Below are 17,510 nucleotides of genomic sequence, written 5' to 3'. Positions count from 1 at the left end.
AGAGCAGCCCTTGTTTTCACGTACTTCACAATTTATTGGGGAAAACTGTCAAGTAAACATAATTGTAGTACGATGCAATCAGGAAACAGAATTGCAGAGTTCATGGAATATTATGTGATTGTACTTAATATTACGGGAATTGTACAAGACAGGCACCCAGCTGAGCCTAGTGGTGTTGGAGAAGTCTCTGAGGTGCACATGATTAAGCAGGAGTAAGCTAGGTAAAGGTGAAGTGCAGGGAGCAGGGGAAGGGCGTTTCAAAGGGGACAAATGAGCAAAGGTCTGGAAGTGACTGGATGTGGCCAGGACCTGAGGCAGCTCAGCACTGCTGGGTCAAAAAGTGTAGAGCCAGGATTGAGGGGCACAGATCAATCACAGATGACTTAGTGTGCCCCACAGAGGAGCCCAGAGACACTCTAGGAAACAGGGGTGATATTGACACATGAGTTCAATGAATATTCAAGTACCTTTTAGAGGCCAGCCTCATGCTCAATACTGGCTTCTATTCCTTTTTGAAAAACACCTAAAATTCTTTCCACCTTACTGAAAAGCAAAGAAGTTCTTTAGGCTGAGAGTCGTCCAACAACTGGTATACAGTTGGTGCTCAATCGATGGTGATCATAGTCCCTCCCTGCCAGGGAGCTGTTGCTGACTGGGTAGTGTTCCCCAAATGATGTGGCTGTCCATTCCCAGGATCAGACATCTTTGCATCATGAAAAATGGCCCAACCCTGTAGCTAACATCCACAGGGCACATTGCTTAAAGACAGATTCCCTGCAACCTCTCTCATGATGGAGAAGAAGGCTGATTCTCTTAGCTCTCTGCTTTGTAAAGAAAATGGTTTTCAGCACAACTTCACCCCACAGCAATTATGGAAAATAAATTGAAGTGTAAGAACAGGGAGATGGCTAGCAGATGGGGCAAAATTAGCCTGGCTGCTACTACCACCCTGGCTCCACAGGACGCAGAAAGAGATCCTGCTCCTTGGAGTGTGAAATGACCACAAGATTAAGAATCAAGGCAGCAGCAAGGAAGCTCCTGCCTCAAGCCCAAGCACCAAGGAGCCCCTAATGGGGCCTCCACTTCTGTCTCCACTGATCCCACCTTTCCCCGCCCAAACTGCTGTCCCTGTGGGGGTTCCTCTCCTCCTTCTGGGCTCAGCTCCAAGGTCAGTCTTTAGAGACCTCTGCTGCCCTCCACCCGCATTCACAGTTCCTTAACCCAAATTGACTTTCTCCTTTCTGGAGTCCACTTTAGAAATCTCCTTTCCTTGTTTAAGGGCCACACGATAGCCCCTGCCCCAATGGATGACTGGAGGGTAGACTCACCCTCCTTCAGGGCCCTGCCTCAAGGGCACAGGTCTGTCCTTCGGGGGACCTCCATAGTTACTGGGTAATTAGTGAGCAGCCGGGTTTCCGGGATTCATTGCTGTGAACAGAGCAGCGATGCACACAGGCCCATGTGTTTAAATGCCCAGTGAGCCCTGTCCATTTTTTTCCCCCTCTTGGAACACTGAATATTTAAAGCCATTTTCTTTGTGGCCTTAGTTGTCACAGAAAGGGCCCAAGCACTGAGCTGGGAGCAGGGGGCTGGGACTTCCTGCTCCTAAGTCATTCCTCAACCTTGGGCAAATTCGGTAACTGTAGGGTCTCACTTTTAAGGAGTGTAAACCACATGGTGGGCACCAAACAGGATAAGATCCTGGAATTCTCTAGAGTTCAACAGTGGAGGTGGGGAGGGAGGGGACCGGAAGGCCTGTCCTGGCATTTTCAGTAGTCTCCACAGGAAGTTCTGTCCTGGCATTTTCACTAATTTCCAGTGACCCCACAGAGGGTCACTTGGAGACTCAGTGGCCAGAGACCCCACAGCGTACCCCAGCTCCTAGGAGTTGGCCTGCTTCTTGTTCCTTCCTAGAAGCTGGAGTCACATTACTGGACCGGAAAAGGCTCCTAGTATCTAAACCAACGAAGAAGGCCCTTCTTTCACAGCCCCCCCGCACTTTGGAGACTCCCACAACTTTACCTCCACACTAGTTTGCCCCCCGACCCAGGCCCTCGACACTCCCCACGCAGGGCTCCCAGGATTCGGGGATGGGCAGGGCTCGGGTCCTGGTCCCTCCAAGTGGGGGCTGCCTCTCCAGAGTGGACAGGGGACCCGCGGAGGGGGTGTCTTATCCCGGACGGGAGGGAGACGCTGCCTCCTGGACCAGGTACTGGGACCCACGGGCCCACCCCCAGTTGCGTCACCCGGCCCACCGCCCCCTGAGACATCACAATCTGGGGGCCGGGACCCGCGCCTCATCACAGCCGGTTTGTAACCAAACAATCCAACCTACAAACACCCCGGAAAGAAAAAAAACACAAGCTGGCCTGACCCAGCCTCCCGCCCCTGCCCCGCCCCGCCCCGCCCCTCGCCCCTCGCCCCTCGCTCCTCAGGGCCCCCGCCCCCGCACGGGGGAGTGAGAGCGAGCCCGCCGCCCCGCACCCGCCGCCCCGCGCTCGCTCGCGCCAGCCCGCGGCGGGGGCGGCCCCGACCGCGCCGCCCGCCCCTCCCCGCCCCGCCCCGCCCCGCCCGCGCCCGCGCCCCGCCCGCGCCCGCCGCGACTCCAGCTCCGCGGCGCCCTCGCCGGGTGCGTGCCGCTCGCGCGCCCGCCAGCCAGGCTCTCCGCGCCCGCCGCCCGCGCCGCGCTGGCCCGGGCTCTCCCGCCCGCGCTTCATGGCTGCACACGAGTGGGACTGGTTCCAACGCGAGGAGCTCATCGGGCAGATTAGCGACATCCGAGTGCAGAACCTGCAAGGTAACGCAGCCCAGGCTCGCCCCGGGATGGCTGGGCGCTCGGGGGGCCCGGGGCGCCGCTCCGACACTTGGCAACTCCCCCGCGCCGCCCCCGCTCGCCGGCCGCTCGTTGTTCCTGTCACTTGCCTCGAGGTGGGAGGCTGGGGTTGGATACCCGCCCCCAAGCCCCAGGGCGGCCAGCCGCGGCCAGGTTTACAGTTGCCCAGGGGGTGGGGCGCCACACGTGTGTGTGTTGTGGGGCGAGGGCTCGCATTTTCATTAGGGGGACGTCACCACCCCCTCCAGTCACCGCTGCGAGTTTGGAGAAGTTTGTACGTGGGCTCTTGGGGGCGGTGGCCCAGGTTAGGGAGGGGAGGAGACAGTGCGACTCTGTGTGTGTGTGTGTGTGTGTGTGTGTGTGTGTGTGTGAGTTCGCGCACTTCCTAAGTACCTTCGAGGCAAGGGGAATTGAATGGTGGGCGGCGCTTCAGGGGGTGAGTTGGGGAAAGCGGGGCCAGGGGTGCGGATCGGATCGGTGGGGTCAGGCAAGCACCCAACTCCAGCGGCCACTTTGCTTAGGGAGCTGCCCCTCCCCTGCAGGATCAGGACTCTAACTGGGGAGAGGGCGAGAGCCCCACCCTTCCCCCACGCTGGCCCCCAACTCCGACCCTGCCTGGGCACAGGACACTGGGACCAAGGCTTCTACCTGGGAGGTAGCTGAGAAGAGGTGAAAGAGAAACTCCAGTGGTGGAGAGCGGCTGGGTATGGCGGTGCCACACATGAAGTGTGTTTCTCTTTCAAAAGAATTTATTCAATGTGGAAACTTAGAAAGCACAAAAATATTTGAAGGAAAAAAGTCACCCATAATTTCCCCTCCACAACCTATCCACCCAACAGACAGGTGTTCTTCATGGAACTGTATCTCCAGCTTCTTTTTTTTCATATATGGGCTTTGCAGAACTAGACAGAACACCACTTCCGGCCCTTCTTCACCCACATTGACCTGTGCAGGTGAAGTTTCTGTAGCTGCTTCCCCTGCTGGCTTGGGTTTCTAGAGGGTTCAAGGTTAGGAGTGGCTAGGAGCGAGCTGGGAGGCCTGGGCAGAGAGGCGATGGGGCTGTGGGTGCCCTCCCCCAGCCAGGGCAGCGACTTTACTGTTATAGGGTAGGGAGCCCCAGCGCTGGGGGATGGCCGAGCAGTCAAGTTTAAACATTACACCTGATTGAATGTTTCCTGGGAGCCCAGGGTCTGCCCCACCCCTAGGTTGGGCAAGGACAGTGCCGGCAGAGGTGACCTCAAAAGGACTGGGGAGCCTCCTGGGGTGGACACTGGAAACTGAGTTTGCTCTGGGCCGCTCTGATCTCTTCTGGCTGTGATTTGTGTTAAAGGAGGAGGCTTGGGCTGGGATGTTGAAAGTGATCTCTTTTGATAATAAGCCAAGTGCCTGGATCCTGTTGCCTGAGAAGAACTGACATCCTGTTTGGGGGTGGGCATTAGTGTCTTCTGCTGGACTGTGAGGGTGTGAGTGTGTGTACCTGTCTGTCTTAGGCAACCATTGAGTGTTTAATAAGCACATACTAACCAATGCTTCGTGCAACAAGTTCCTGCATTCCTCTAGGATTAGCTCCTGGTTTAGAGAAGATTGATTGTTGTGAAGAGATGCCCCGCAATATGAACATTAGGTTACAACCAGAACGGTGGGAGAAGGCTTTACAGAATAGGGACAATTTGAGATGGGTCCTGGAGGTTGGGTAGGAGTTCACTGAGTAGGCTCCTCTCCCTCAGCTCCCAGTGAACTGTCCTCACTTTTAGGCAAACATCAGTTACAATTTAAGCATCAACAGGCTTTGCCATTAAAAAAATAAATTTTTAAATGTATGTATATGTTTAAATGTGCACTTATTAAGTTCAACAAAACTTTATGTATGAGTACATCTATGTAACAACCACCCAGATCAAGATGTAGATTTCCAGTACCCTAGATGGTCGATTCATCTTCTTTCTCAGCCAATAACACTGCCCCCTGACCACCAAGGGAGCAAACTTGATCCATTACTGAAAGTTAGTTTTGCCGCTAGAACCTGATATACAACTGGATCATACAGTATGTACTCTGGCCTTTTTTTTTTTTTTCCCAGCATTGTGCTGGTGTGATTCCTCTGTGCTCTCGCCTGTATCTGGACTTCCTTTCTTGCTGAGTACTATTCCATGGTATGGATGCCCCGCTGTTTGATGATTCATTCACCTGTTGAGGGACCTTTGGGTTGTGTGCAGTTTGGGGCTATTATGAATGAATGAAGCTGTCCGTGTCTTTTGGGGGCATTAGCACTGTAGAGTTACCGTGTCGGGCGTTGTGCTTTGCTTAGCATTGCTGAGAAGAGGCTGGGAGTGGAGATGGGGGCAGGCATCTGTCTTCTCTTGATTTTTCCCTTCTCTTGATTTTTCCTTTGGTCAGTCTCTTGACTGAATGCTTAATAGGCATTTTCTCTCCTTGCTCCTGTGGTACTCAGGAAGTCTCAGCCAAAGGGCCGAGTCCAGAAGGTGCTCCACGCCGAGCTTAGTTAGAGCATCTGCCATAACTGGCTGTCAGATGTCAGATGGCCCGGGATGTGCCTGGATGATCGACTTTGGGGGCCACCAGCAGGGGCCTTGTTCTTCTGAACTCAGTGCAGAGGGTAGTCAAGTTATGGGAGGCAGGAGGAGTCCAGGCAGAGGGGCTGCCATTGAAGCTGTGTGCCTGCTTACAGCACAGATAGCCGCAGTTGTCGTGGCGATGGAAGGAGGGCTACAGTGGGATCTTACAGATCTCTAATCATAGGGATTGAGAGGGATTCCTGGCCTCCATCTGTAGGCAGCAGCTGCTGTCAGGGTCAGGCATTCCTGATTCTTTTCAGAAAGCTTTGACTCTCTTGGGGCCCTGGGATGGGGTGATCCTGGGGTCATTAATGAGGGGTAGCCCTGAGCTTACAACCTCTGGGATATTGCATTTCAGGGAAGAATAGTTTAATAATAGAGCTATATCTTTGTATCTTTCCATATATCCATAAGTTTAAGTTGACTTAGAAGTATCTTGGCCTCTGCTCACTTGCTCATCCAAGGCTTTTATCTCTCACGCTGAACTGTAGGATTCTGAAATCCATGCAATGTGATTGTGATGTCATAGGTCATCCCCCAAAAAACATTGGAATGAAGATTTCTCGACCTGTCTTTGGAGGTCCGGGTGAGCTGGGCAGAGTGATGGCCCCTCCCAAGAGGCCTGCCACTCACCTTCCTGTGTCTGATACTTGAGCAGATGCAGTGTTCATGGATATGTTCACATGCATAGCTCAAAAAGACGTTCGTCAAGGAGGAGCCCTCTGGCAGAGCATGGGCATGTCCCTCTGGGCAGACTGCCTGTGCCACCCTCACAGGGTCCCTTGCAAGGAAACAGGGGTGGTCCAAGCTGTTGACCTTTTTGGAGAAGAGAAGATGGAATTGCAGGATGCTGGCAGCTTCTGCCAGGTGGTCCCTGCTTCCTTGGAGCCATGTGGGAAGGCAGGGACATATTTTCTAGAACTGATGTTAGAGGTGGTGTGTTAATAGGTCTGCGCCTTAGTTCCGTACCTGGCTGGGGGCTCTGGTGTCCTTCGAAAGACAGGCTAGTCTGGCTGCCCCCTCTCCCTCTTTGTCTGAGCCTCAGGGTCCAGCTCAGTGTTCCACCAGTTCTGGGGGTCACTGTACTGTTGGACAAAAAGGGGTGTCAGGCCAGGATTTAAAGAAGGCTCCATTCATGTGGGAAGCCTCCACCACCCAAAAAACCCACAACCCTTCTCTGAGCAGTTTAGCACATGTGTGTCGAGCACGTAGCATCTTGCAGACATTGGAGAATGAAAGCTGGTTCTAGTCTCTGCCTTTCAGGAGCGTGAAACTGTCATGGGCACCCAGCCAGACTGTAGCTTGAATTTTCTGATTCTAGCGGTGCAGAGGTCAGTTCTGCTTTGGGCCATCCCCTGTCATTCTGGTGCTTTTGGCGTTTGATGCTGTAATTCTGGACCTGGACTTTGAAGGCCAAGCAGAAACTTGACTGCGTAGGTTCTGGGTTGCACAGTGCAGAAGGGAGAGAAATGATTGGAATCCCCTCAAGGCAGGCTCAGAGGCAGGGCAGGGCCTGCGTTTTCCGAAGGATCAGCCCCGGCCCATGTGGCCCACTTTCTCCTTTTGTTCCACTGGCTCAGGCCCAGGTGCAGGTGTCCCTCATGCGAACTTGGACTCCGCAGTCACTGACTTCTTTACGGCTTTCCACCCACCACCCAGCCACTCGAGCATGTTGTTGCTAAAGCCACCAGTAGGTTTTGTGACCTACAGCAGAGCTTCCCAACCCATGAGCTAAGGGCAGCAGAGTGGGGGCCTGGGCAGCTCTTTGGCCCATCCCAGGACAAATGGTATCATGGTCCCATGTGACCACGAGAAAAAGGCTGGGTTGCACTGGCTTACAGGATGAAGTCCAAGCCCCTTGACCTGTTGTGCGAGGTCACCTGTGGCCTGGCTCAGGATGCCACACCAACCTTCTCTCCCATAACTCCCCAACAATTCCTGCCCCCACAGCCCACCCCTCCAGTTCCTTATCGCTCCATCTTTACCTCCCTATCTCTAGACCTTCCTTTCACACAGCAGTGGAGCACACAGCAGTGGGATGGGATGCTGCCATGGTCACCGTTATCCAGCAGCCAGAGAAGGGATGGAGCCAAGGAGGGACCGTTCCTGTTCCCACCTCCGCCAGCTCTTAGAGGGCACAGCAAGTGCACTGAAGGTTTCTATATAAAAACCCAAAGAAAACCAAATGCACAGGTTTCATGTCAAGGAACTGCCTGCCAGGGCACTACCCCTGGGGCTGTGTGCCTGGTTCTAAGGGATGAATCATCATGTAGAAAGTTTCTTTCTGACTGTGGCTGGGGTCAGGCCACGGGCTTTGAGTTCACTCCTGATTACAACAGGCAAAAGGCCGTGTTCTAGTGCCAGCTCCATCCCTATCTCATGGTGTGGATTTTTCTTGAGGGGCCTTTCCAGGTGGAGCATTGTGCGGCTGCGGAAGCCACAACCAAGACCCAAAGGCTGAAGGCCTGAGCCAGGGTCCTGGCTTTGTTGCAAACTCGCTGTGAGATTCTGAAAAATCTCTCTCCCTTGTGGTTCCTTAGTTTCCTCATTTGCAAAATGAGAGGGTTGGATTATCTGGGGCTCAAATCCACCCCTGGGAAGGTGGTCAAGGAGTGGTGGGCCTGGGCAGGTGCCCACCTAAAGCCGTCTGCCTTCCAGCCCGGCATGCATGAGTGGATGGCTGGTGTGTGACTCTGGGCTCTACTAAGCACTGCTGGCTGCATCCTAGATTCTTTTCACTGTGGAGTGCTGGAGATTCACTTCCACCAAGTGTCCTGGGTAGAAAATGTTGCATTTCATAAGCTTTGCTATACAAGTACACGTGGTAAATGATGTACATTCTTGGCTTGTCCTTGGCTGTCAAGTTGAAGGTACCTAGGGAGGTATAGTGGCCAGCCCGCCATCAGGGCAAACAAGGGGCTCTGGACTCCACCCAGGCATGTTTGTACCAAGGAACGAGAGTGTTCAGGGGCCAGGTAAAACAGAAGCCCATCTCACAAATGGCTTTGCAGCAGGGAGAGGGAAGCCCTCAGTCCAGTTGGCAGCAGACCTAGGAAGAAGTTTCGCCACAGAATCACGTGTCAGCAGCCACGACTTTGCATCAGAGCAGCCCAGAGCTGCCTGCTGGCCCTATAGCCTCATGAGAGAGGCGGGATGTCTCACCAGATCTGCAGCTCTAGGGAAGCAACCCTTTGCCCAAGAGGCCCAGATTTCATAAACTGCCCTCCCTGACCTGTGGAACACTCTGGCATTTAATTTTTCACTGAAATAGCTGAGGCTCTGGACAAAGTCCCTCTGCCCGACAAGCCATAGATCACATCTGCCCTATGTCTGAGAAGAAGAGAGAAAAATAAAGTAATTGTCTTTTTTGTGATTGAACCATTAAAAGTGAACTCCCTGTTCCCATAGAAACCTTTTTATAAATTTTTTTTCTTTCCCCATGCCTTTTTTTTTTTTTTGTTTAAACAGTGGTAGATTGCGTTAGTCACAGAAGGAATTAGAGGCAGCATCAGAAATCATAAGTGCAGCATCAAAAAATGGACTTTTTCTTCCTTACCAGGTCTTCTTTTCCTACTTTCTTTCTATCGGAGTAGGGATTTGCAAACTACGGCCCACAGGCCAAATCTGGCCTGCTGCCTCTTTTTGTGTATAAAGTTTTATTGGCACATAGACACACCCATTTATTTGCATATTGCCTATAGCTGCTTTTGCAGGACAAGGGCACAGCTGAGTAGTTGAGGCAAAGAAGTACCCACAAAACCAAAAATATGTATCATCCAGCCCAGTGTAGAAAAAGAGGAAGACAGAAATGGAGAAAAGTGTTAGTAAAATGCTCTCAGCAAAAGAAAAGTGGTGTGTGTATGTGTGTTTTTAATTTTTATTTTATTTTTTTGAGACAGAGTTTCATTCTTGTCACCAAGGCTGGAGTGCAATGGTGTGATCTTGACTCACTGCAACCTCTGCCTCCTGGGTTCAAGCAATTCTCCTGCTTTAGCCTCTCGAGTAGCTGGGATTACAGGCATGCGCCACCATGCCCAGCTAATTTTTATATTTTTAGTAGAGACAGGCTTTCACCATGTTGGCCAGGCTGGTCTCGAACTCCTGACCTCAGGTGATCCACCTGCCTTGGCCTCCCAAAGTACTGGGATTACAGGTGTGAGCCACTGCACCTGGCCGTGTATGTGTATTTTTAGTGTGTATCTCTCTGTGTGTGTATGTCTGTCAGTGATGTTTTTGCTAAAGTCAGCTGCTCTGCCTTGGAACAGCAGCCCAGGATGAAAGCCGTCAAGATGCCCCCACATCCCAGAACTAAGGTGTTATCTTGGAACCCCTGCCACGTGCCTCCCACACTTGCCTGGTCATTGTTATCCCACGTCTGATTCTATCCAGAAGAAAGCCCCAACATCTGTGGACAAGGAATCACTCTTCTTTCCAGCAGCAGTATGTGAATATAGGGGCCTGGAAGGCTGGAATCAGGTTCGTGGGGTGAGGCCGGCCAGCCTCCCTACGGAGTAGGAAATGGGTCCTTGTCAGCAAGTATCAGGCTGCTATGCAGAATACAGCAATCTGGAGGACTTCCTGTAGAAAGTTAGGAACTGTATTTTCTGAACCCAGACCCAGGGCACGTGACAAGTAGAAGGTGCTTCTCGTGATGACAGCAGGGAATGCTTGTTGTATGTGTGGCAGCCCAGCCTTCTTCTCCAAAGGGTGCCAGACTGCCTGGGGTACGTTTTAAATCTGCTTTAGAAATGGGCTTACCCACTTGAAGCCTGGTCCTTTGGTCAAATAACAGTTGTCCAGTCCCCCTGAAATTCTGGGAGCTCGGGATGGAGGGGTGGGTGAATGGGACATGCTAGGAGTTCTCAGTACAGAGAGGATAGGGTTATGGTGAGGTTGAGATCAGCGTGTAGGAACTGTGGGTGCTCACCGTGGGTCCTGCAGGAGTGTAGGGTGGGGAGGGAGGCCCAGTCCAGTCTTGAGGGGGACATTTGCACAGCTAGACTGCCCTGTAGGTTTCTCTGTGAGTTTGGTGGAGAACACGGTGGCGGCAACAGGCCTGAGCTGAGAGTGTACAGACCAGGGCTCTGGTCACGGGGCTGGCACCACTTGGCCATAGAAACCCGGGGAGGCTTCCCGACAGAGGGCAGGAGAGTGGGACTCAAGGGGAAGGAAGAGGCCCGCATGAGTCACAGATTGTCTACCCAGGAGGCCAGAGAATGTGGTGATGTCATGTCACAGTGGTCGCCTCTATGTTCTGTATCCCTGGAATGAAGAAGGTGGCAGAGGATGGGGTACAGAGGAAAATCTGTCCCATGAACCCACAGGGTAGGGGAGCATGTGGTGGGGGGCCATGGGGTCAGGGAGAGCCCCAGCAAGCTCCTCAGCAGGACGGAAGCCAGGGTTGGGTCGGGGCATGCAGGATGGTGCGTCCCAGACGGGCCCATGCAGTTGACCTTCACCTTTTATTTCTGTCCCTCTTTTTATTTGGTTCCCTTGTGTTCTAGTGCTTCTTGGAGATTGTGGTCCAGTGTCCCCAAGGCACAGAAAAAGCAAGCAGGATTTGGGGAATTTACAAAGGCCCTGGGGTTGTTAGGATTTGGGGAATTTACAGAAGTCCTGGGGTCATTTTGGTGTTGACCAGAACTACTTTCAGCTCCTGCAGAACTGCAGACCTCCCGGTCTAACTGGAAGGACCCCAGGCTCCGATGGTGGAGGCACGCCCCACCCCTGCTTTCCTCTCCTGGGGGGTTCTCCATGCAGCCAGGAGGCTTTGCGATATTTATAACCCTCTCCTTTTTAAAACTATTTTTAATCCTCTATGGTATGACATACTTAAAAGCAGTGTTCTGAGCCCTTCCAGCTGAGAACTGGGGCGGCGGGTGGGGAGGGGGCTCGGAGGTGACCTGCCAATCTGGTGGTGGAGGAACCTGAACCTTCAGATAGCACTGTTCATGCGCCTCTTCCCTCGCCTCCCGTGTCCCGTCAGTCCTGGCCCTGAATGTCTGTCTCATTTGGGCCTTCCCACGTTTGCCTCCTTTGCACACATTCTCCTTGTTAGTTGCCACAACCACTGTCTATGCTGCCTCCAGTGTGCCCGTCCTGCTCCGGCCCTGCAACCCAAAGACTTTTCTCGCACCCCATCCATCTCTCCACCAGGGCTCTTTGCCCCTGGGAAGAAGTGCTGCTGTGTGCTCTGCCCCCACCTCTCCTGGCCTTCCTTGAAGGAACTGGGCCACAGCTGCACCCAGGTGTCTTCCGGGTTTGCCCACAGGCCACGCCCTTTACCCTTGCTGTGCCTTTGTCCACGAGGTCCCTTCTGCAGAGAATGACTGTGACCATGCCCAGAACAGCCTTTTTGGGCCCTGTGTGTGCCCTCCTGGACAGAACTCACAGCCCTGTGATCTGGACTCCCAGGGGCTTCACAGATGCCCTCTGAGCCCGCCTCTGAGTGGAGCCCTGAGTGAGGTGCACGAATCTTTGTCCTGCCAGCCCCTAACATGGAGCAGGTCTTTAGAAGCGTTGTAGGCTGGACAATGCCTCCCCTGCAAGATGTCCACATCCTAATCCCCCAAACGGGTGAATATGTCCTCTTCCTTGGTAAAAGGGACTTGGCAGATATGATTAAGTGAAGGATCTTGAGATAAGGAGATTATCTTGGATTATCCAAGTGGACCTAACTAATCACAAGCCTCCTTATAAGAAGGAAGCAGGAGGGTCAGAGAGAGAGGGAGACAGGAGATGTGATCATGGAAGCAGAGTTGAGAGCAGTGCTGCTGCAGGATGGGACCAGGAGCCGAGGAATGCAGGGACCTTGTGTTAGGTCGTTTTTGCATTGCTCTAAAGAAATACCTGAGTCTGGGTAATTTATAAAGAAAAGAAGTTTAATTGGCTCATGGTTCTGCAGGCTGTTCAGGAAGTGTGGTGCCAGCATCTGCTTCTGGGGAGGCCTCAGGAAGCTTCCAATCACGGCAGAAGGGAAGGGGAGCCAGCACAGGGCCCACCTCCAGCACTGCGGATCACATTTCAACCTGAGATTTGGAGGGGACACACACCCAAACCATATCAGGCCTCTACAAGCCAGAAAAGGGAAGACCTGGATTCTGGAATCTCGAGAAGGAACCTTGCCTGTAACCTTGGTTTTAGCTGGTAAAACCCATTCAGACTTCTGACCTTCAGAACTAGAAGAGAATTTATTTGTGTTGTTTTCAGCCACTAAGCGTGTGGTAATCTGTCACAGCAGCCACAGGAATCTCATACGCAAGTAAATAACAAATGGCTGTCAAGCCTTCTCTGCTTCCATAGAAGAGACACATTGGGGAGATATTTGCACAGCTGGACTGCCCTGTAGGTTTCTCTGTGAGTTTGGTGGAGACCAGGGTGGGGGCAGCAAGCTTTAGCTGAGAGTGCACAGACCAGGGCTGTGGTCATAGGGCTGCCACCACCTGGCTGGAGAACTCGGGGAGGCTTCCTGACAAAGGGCAGGAGTGGGCTTTAAGAGGAAGGGAGAGTCCGGCTTGAGCCAACAGACTCTTTACCTAGGAGGCCAGAGAAGGTGGTGTCGTTGTGTCATGGTGATCTCATCTATGCCCTGTGGCCCTGGGACAAAGAGGGTGGCATCGTCGTGTCCTCTAGTTGCATACGCTGTTGTGTGGATTTTGGGACTGAACATGTTCTGGCAGCAGTAACATCTCTGTTCTAATCCTTGTGTACTTTTGGAGTGGAGATCCATGAACCCTGGAAATGCCGTTACCCTAGAGCAAGCTGAGTCCTGGTTGTGTTGGGTAAACAATCTTCTACTTGATGTGAAATATCACAGTTTATTTAGAAAACAAGAGAGCATCATTAAAATATGGGTTTATAGACAGTTTCCGACTTTTGGTTTTATTACATCACATATCGAAAGTCCCAGGCTAGACATGCAACTTACAAGGGACTTCAGTTGCCAAAGAATGAAAGAAAAGTCCTAATCCTGCCTCACTGTTTCAGTGCTGTTGAATGATGTCGTCTGTGTTTCCAACCTCCCTAGCCTCCCTCTCCCTCCTTGACTGAACGCGGGATTAGCCCCACAATCTTCATGGCCCCCGTTCCATTGTTGTCTCGTGGTAGGTTTACGAAACCAGTAATGATCATGGATAACCACACTTCCCATTTTTTTTCTTCTGTTTCTACTTATTTTTATAAAACAAGGATGAAATGCAATCAGACATTCCAGTAATATTCCAAATATATGGCCATGCAGCTGAAAAAGGTCCCCCATGCGTGCGCACGGCTTCTTCCTTGTCAGGCTACACTGGGGGAGTTGCAACCTGAGTTACAGAAGACAATCTGCGGTATTGTTGCTGTTACAATATGTATAATATACAGTACATGCTATATAAAAATCAAGTCAGGGACTGCCTTTATTGGTTATAGGGCACTGATGCGATCATGGGGAGTGTGTGCGGGGAGGGGGTTGGTAGGCTGGGGAGAGGTGACCACAGTGCAGGACCCTGTGCCATGTCTTTGGAAGAACCCTGATGGTGGGCATTATTATCAGCCCTGAGAACTAAGGCTGAGTGAGATTGTCACAGGTTCCAAGCCATTGAGCTAATGAGTGGTAGAACCAGGAATCAGAGGTAAGCCTGGGAAGATGAAGTCAGTCAGGGGCTGGGTAGTAAGATGAGATTTGAATGTGGGGACATGGGGAGAGACTTGACCAGCACTAGATCAAGGACCAGGTGGTGCTAGAGAGGACAATTGACTTACTTGGAACCCAGAAAGAAAACTGGATCCCAGCTAAAGGATGTTGGGCAAGATGTCAGCCAGCTTTGCTGCTGAGCCTTATCACAGTCTGTTCAGTGGCCCAGCTGGTTCTGTTTAGAGTCATTTACACACCAGGTTTTCCTTGAACTAACAAAGTAAAGGCTGACTTCTTGACTGAAGATTTCTGCCTGGTGATTCCCCGGGGTGGATCTCAAAAGAGTGGGGATCTGAAGAAATTGAGGAGATGAAATTCTCATAACCTTGAATGATGGCAGAAGTGAGCAGAGGCAGCCATGGGAACCACCCTCTTGTCCCTGTGTTGTGTTATGGTGATGGCAGATGATAAAGCGGAGCCATCCCCATTATGTCATTTAAGGCTGACGTAAACCTCTGGGGCCCCTACTTCACAGATGCAGACTCCGAGGTCAGAGGGGCTCCGTGGCTTTGCCCTGTTCTCAGCGAGTGAGCAGCAGATGTGAGGTTTCACAGCACACTGTGATATCTCCAGGAATTTGCTGCAGCCCCCTAGACTCACCAGGCCTTTCTGGAGGCCGGTCTACAAAGGCTGCTTCCTCTTCTTTCATGTACACAAGCGTGGAGCTCTCTCTTGGAGAGCTGGCTCTCTCCAAGAGAGAGCTGGCCTGGCCTGTGAGTTTAACTCTGATCTAAAACAAACCAAACGTGTTACCTCCCGATTCAAAGCCAAGGGCCTTGGGTGCCGAAAGCAGGAGGTTGCCCCGGGCAATGGCCTGTATTGAGTTCCCAGGAGTACCTTGGGCAAGGGCCATGAAGTGGCACGTGATTGCTGACCCGTAGGGGACAGAGACATCGCAATGCCATGAGGTCAGTGAGGGATTGTGGAGTGGGTGAGGAAAGGAAGAGGAACAGCAGGAATCAGATAAGTGCTGCAGTCCTAGGTTGAGGCTGTGTAGGGTAGGCACTGCTACACTTGGATTTGTTGTTAATGATGGCTTGTTTACTGTGGGTTTGCCCAGGTAGACCAGAAGTCCTACTGGGTCAGGTGCTGGAGTCTGCCCTGGCCACCCCTGTGACCCAGGCTTAGAGAGTGCTCAGTTTATATTGTTGAATGCATGAATGTGGAATCAAAGGGAGAGTGTGGATGCTGGGTTTGGCAGAGTTGGATTTGAGCCTGTTTTTAGTATTGACTGGCTGTGGGTAGCTGTGAGCCCGACCATGTCTTTTTGGTGGAAAGGGATGATAACCCCAACTTCTCCTGGTTGCTAGAACATTCAGTGAGGTCATATGTCTTCATCAATGCCTGTTTCCCCATTCCCTTGCCTTTTCTTTAAGGTTTGTATGGAAAACAGTGAGACCCCAGCCCCTTTCCCTGGAGGATATGGCTTGCATTGTTTTTTAAGCTGATGATTTTAGTATTTTCTTCCATGTCTCTAAATAACATGCATGTATTGTTTCATCTTGATTTTTTGGTTCTAAGCTCTGGTTTCTTACTGTAGAAGGTGAGGATGTAGGACCCCTCTTTACCTCCTTTAACCTCAAATCTGCCTCCTCTCAACTTCCCCATATGTTTTCATCATAATTTTGATAAGATCCGTAACTGGGGTTTACAGTGTCACTAGTAGGTCAGTGCTCTTCAGAGCTTAGCTGTGTAGTAAATGATGGTCACTTTTCCTTACCTGATCTGCTTTTTGTTTTCTTTGGAATTAAATATCGTCTGCTGTTGCTGTTGGTCGTGGGGTATGCGCTTATTAATTCATCTGAAACTCTCTTACTATTCTAGATACCTCCTTAAGTTGTTTGGGTGCATCAGGTAAAGTGTCTCTCTTATCTCTTCTTTTTTTTTTGTTTGAGATGGAGTCTAGCTCTGTCACCCAGGTGTGGTCACTGTCTCTGTGCAGTGGTATGATCTCGGCTCACTGCAACCTCTGCCTTTTGGGTTCAAGCAATTCTCCTGCCTCAGCCGCCGCTTCCCGAGTAGCTGGGATTACAGACGTGCACCACCATGCCCAGCTAATTTTTTTGTGTTTTCAGAGAGATGGGGTTTCACCGTGTAGGCCAGGCTGGTCTCGAACTCCTGACTTTAAGTAATCTGCCCACCTCAGCTTCCCAAAGTGCTGAGATTACAGGCATGAGCCACCATGCCTGGCTAGTTCTCTCTTCTTGAGCAAGTCTGGGGCCTCTGACTTTCTTCAGTCTGAACTTGTGCTGTCCTCCACACCTGGGGCCCAGCTGTCACCTGGACTGCCTGTCACTGTCACCTGTGGTCCCCCTCGCTTCTCTCCTGGGTCAGATCTCCTGCTTCCTGCCTTCCTCTGATGGCTTCACTCGTTGCATACAGGAGCACATCCTTCCTGAGAGAGAGTGCCTGGGTGGTAGATTTACTGAGAATTTGCACATGGGAAAATGAACTTATACTCTAATTCTTGATTGCTACATTACCTGGGCATCAAATTCCAGGTTGGAAATGATTTTCCTTCAGCGTATTGAAGTGTTCCTTGCTCCACTGTCTGCCTGCTTCTAGGGTAGCTACAGAGAAGGGTGAAGTCATCTCTAATCCTCTGTTTGCATCCTGCTTCATGCTGTCTGGATGCTCACAGGAGCCTTGGTTTGTCCCCAGCAGCCTGAGACTTCAAGGTGACCTGCGTTGGTGCTGGTCTCTTTTCATCCATTATGCTGTGCCCTTAATGAGACCTTTCTGGAAACTATACTTCAGTTCTGGGAAATTTTCTAGGACAATCCATTATGATTTCTGTTCCTTGGTTTTCTGACCTTCTAGAACTCCTTTTACTTGGATATCATTCCTCATGGGCTGATCCTCCAATTCTCTTACCTTTTCTATTTTTTGATCCCTTTTGCTCTTTGTTCTGCTTTCTTTGAGATTCCATCAATTTTACATTCCATATTTTAACCTATCACATTTTTAATTTGCGAGAACTCTCTCTTATTCTTCAAAGAAGCCTCTTGTTCACGACTGCATCATCTTCTCATACGTGCTGAGGATGGTCATGATGGACAGGGTTGGGGCGGAGCTTTGAGTGGTGGCTCACACAGTGCTCAATGGCGTGGAGCCAAATGGCTAGTTGGGAATCCTGGCTCTGCCGCTTACTAGCTTTATGATTTTGGACAAGTTATTTAACCTCTCTCTTTTTCAAAGGCCTCATCGGTACAATGGGAAGAATAATACTGATGTCTGCTTTGGGAGCTGCACTAATTGCATGAGTTACTGGAGGTGAAGGGCTTAGAGAGGGCCTGGCGCACACTGGGTGTGATGGACCTGTGCACCCTTTCTCTTGGCTTCGCTTGATCTGAAGCTTTCGTGTTAGAGGCCTTCTTTCTTAGCTGCCTTATAGTCCTTGGTTGCTTTCCCCTCTTTAAAAGTT

At 51.4% G+C, this 17,510-nt stretch overlaps 1 protein-coding gene across 5 annotated transcripts in view, besides 4 other annotated features; it reads left to right on the top strand.

Annotated features, from left to right (window-relative positions):
• Window positions 2,600-17,510, top strand: part of CLMN (calmin) — a 137,969-nt gene continuing 123,058 nt past the window's right edge. For 4 of the 5 annotated variants that reach the window (NM_024734.4, XM_011537158.2, XM_011537159.3 and 1 more), the window contains exon 1: window positions 2,600-2,797. In NM_024734.4, the coding sequence (NP_079010.2) occupies window positions 2,716-2,797 (82 nt within the window). In that variant the 5' untranslated portion in view covers window positions 2,600-2,715. Of the gene's footprint in view, window positions 2,798-2,901; window positions 3,270-17,510 lie in introns of those variants that run through there. The other variant, XM_017021646.2, reaches the window with a different exon arrangement.
• Window positions 2,620-2,879: a silencer, noted in NCBI's record as "silent region_6045". NCBI's record gives its function as "represses an Ori minimal core promoter by ATAC-STARR-seq in GM12878 lymphoblastoid cells {active_cell/tissue: GM12878}" and the evidence as "EXISTENCE:reporter gene assay evidence [ECO:0000049][PMID:35858748]".
• Window positions 3,510-3,589: an enhancer, noted in NCBI's record as "active region_8955". NCBI's record gives its function as "activates an Ori minimal core promoter by ATAC-STARR-seq in GM12878 lymphoblastoid cells {active_cell/tissue: GM12878}" and the evidence as "EXISTENCE:reporter gene assay evidence [ECO:0000049][PMID:35858748]".
• Window positions 3,610-3,729: an enhancer, noted in NCBI's record as "active region_8954". NCBI's record gives its function as "activates an Ori minimal core promoter by ATAC-STARR-seq in GM12878 lymphoblastoid cells {active_cell/tissue: GM12878}" and the evidence as "EXISTENCE:reporter gene assay evidence [ECO:0000049][PMID:35858748]".
• Window positions 7,590-7,649: a silencer, noted in NCBI's record as "silent region_6044". NCBI's record gives its function as "represses an Ori minimal core promoter by ATAC-STARR-seq in GM12878 lymphoblastoid cells {active_cell/tissue: GM12878}" and the evidence as "EXISTENCE:reporter gene assay evidence [ECO:0000049][PMID:35858748]".

This window comes from Homo sapiens, chromosome 14, assembly GCF_000001405.40.
Source record: "Homo sapiens chromosome 14, GRCh38.p14 Primary Assembly".
NCBI classification, from domain to species: Eukaryota; Metazoa; Chordata; class Mammalia; order Primates; family Hominidae; genus Homo; species Homo sapiens.
This window is presented reverse-complemented; position numbering and strand designations above follow the sequence as displayed.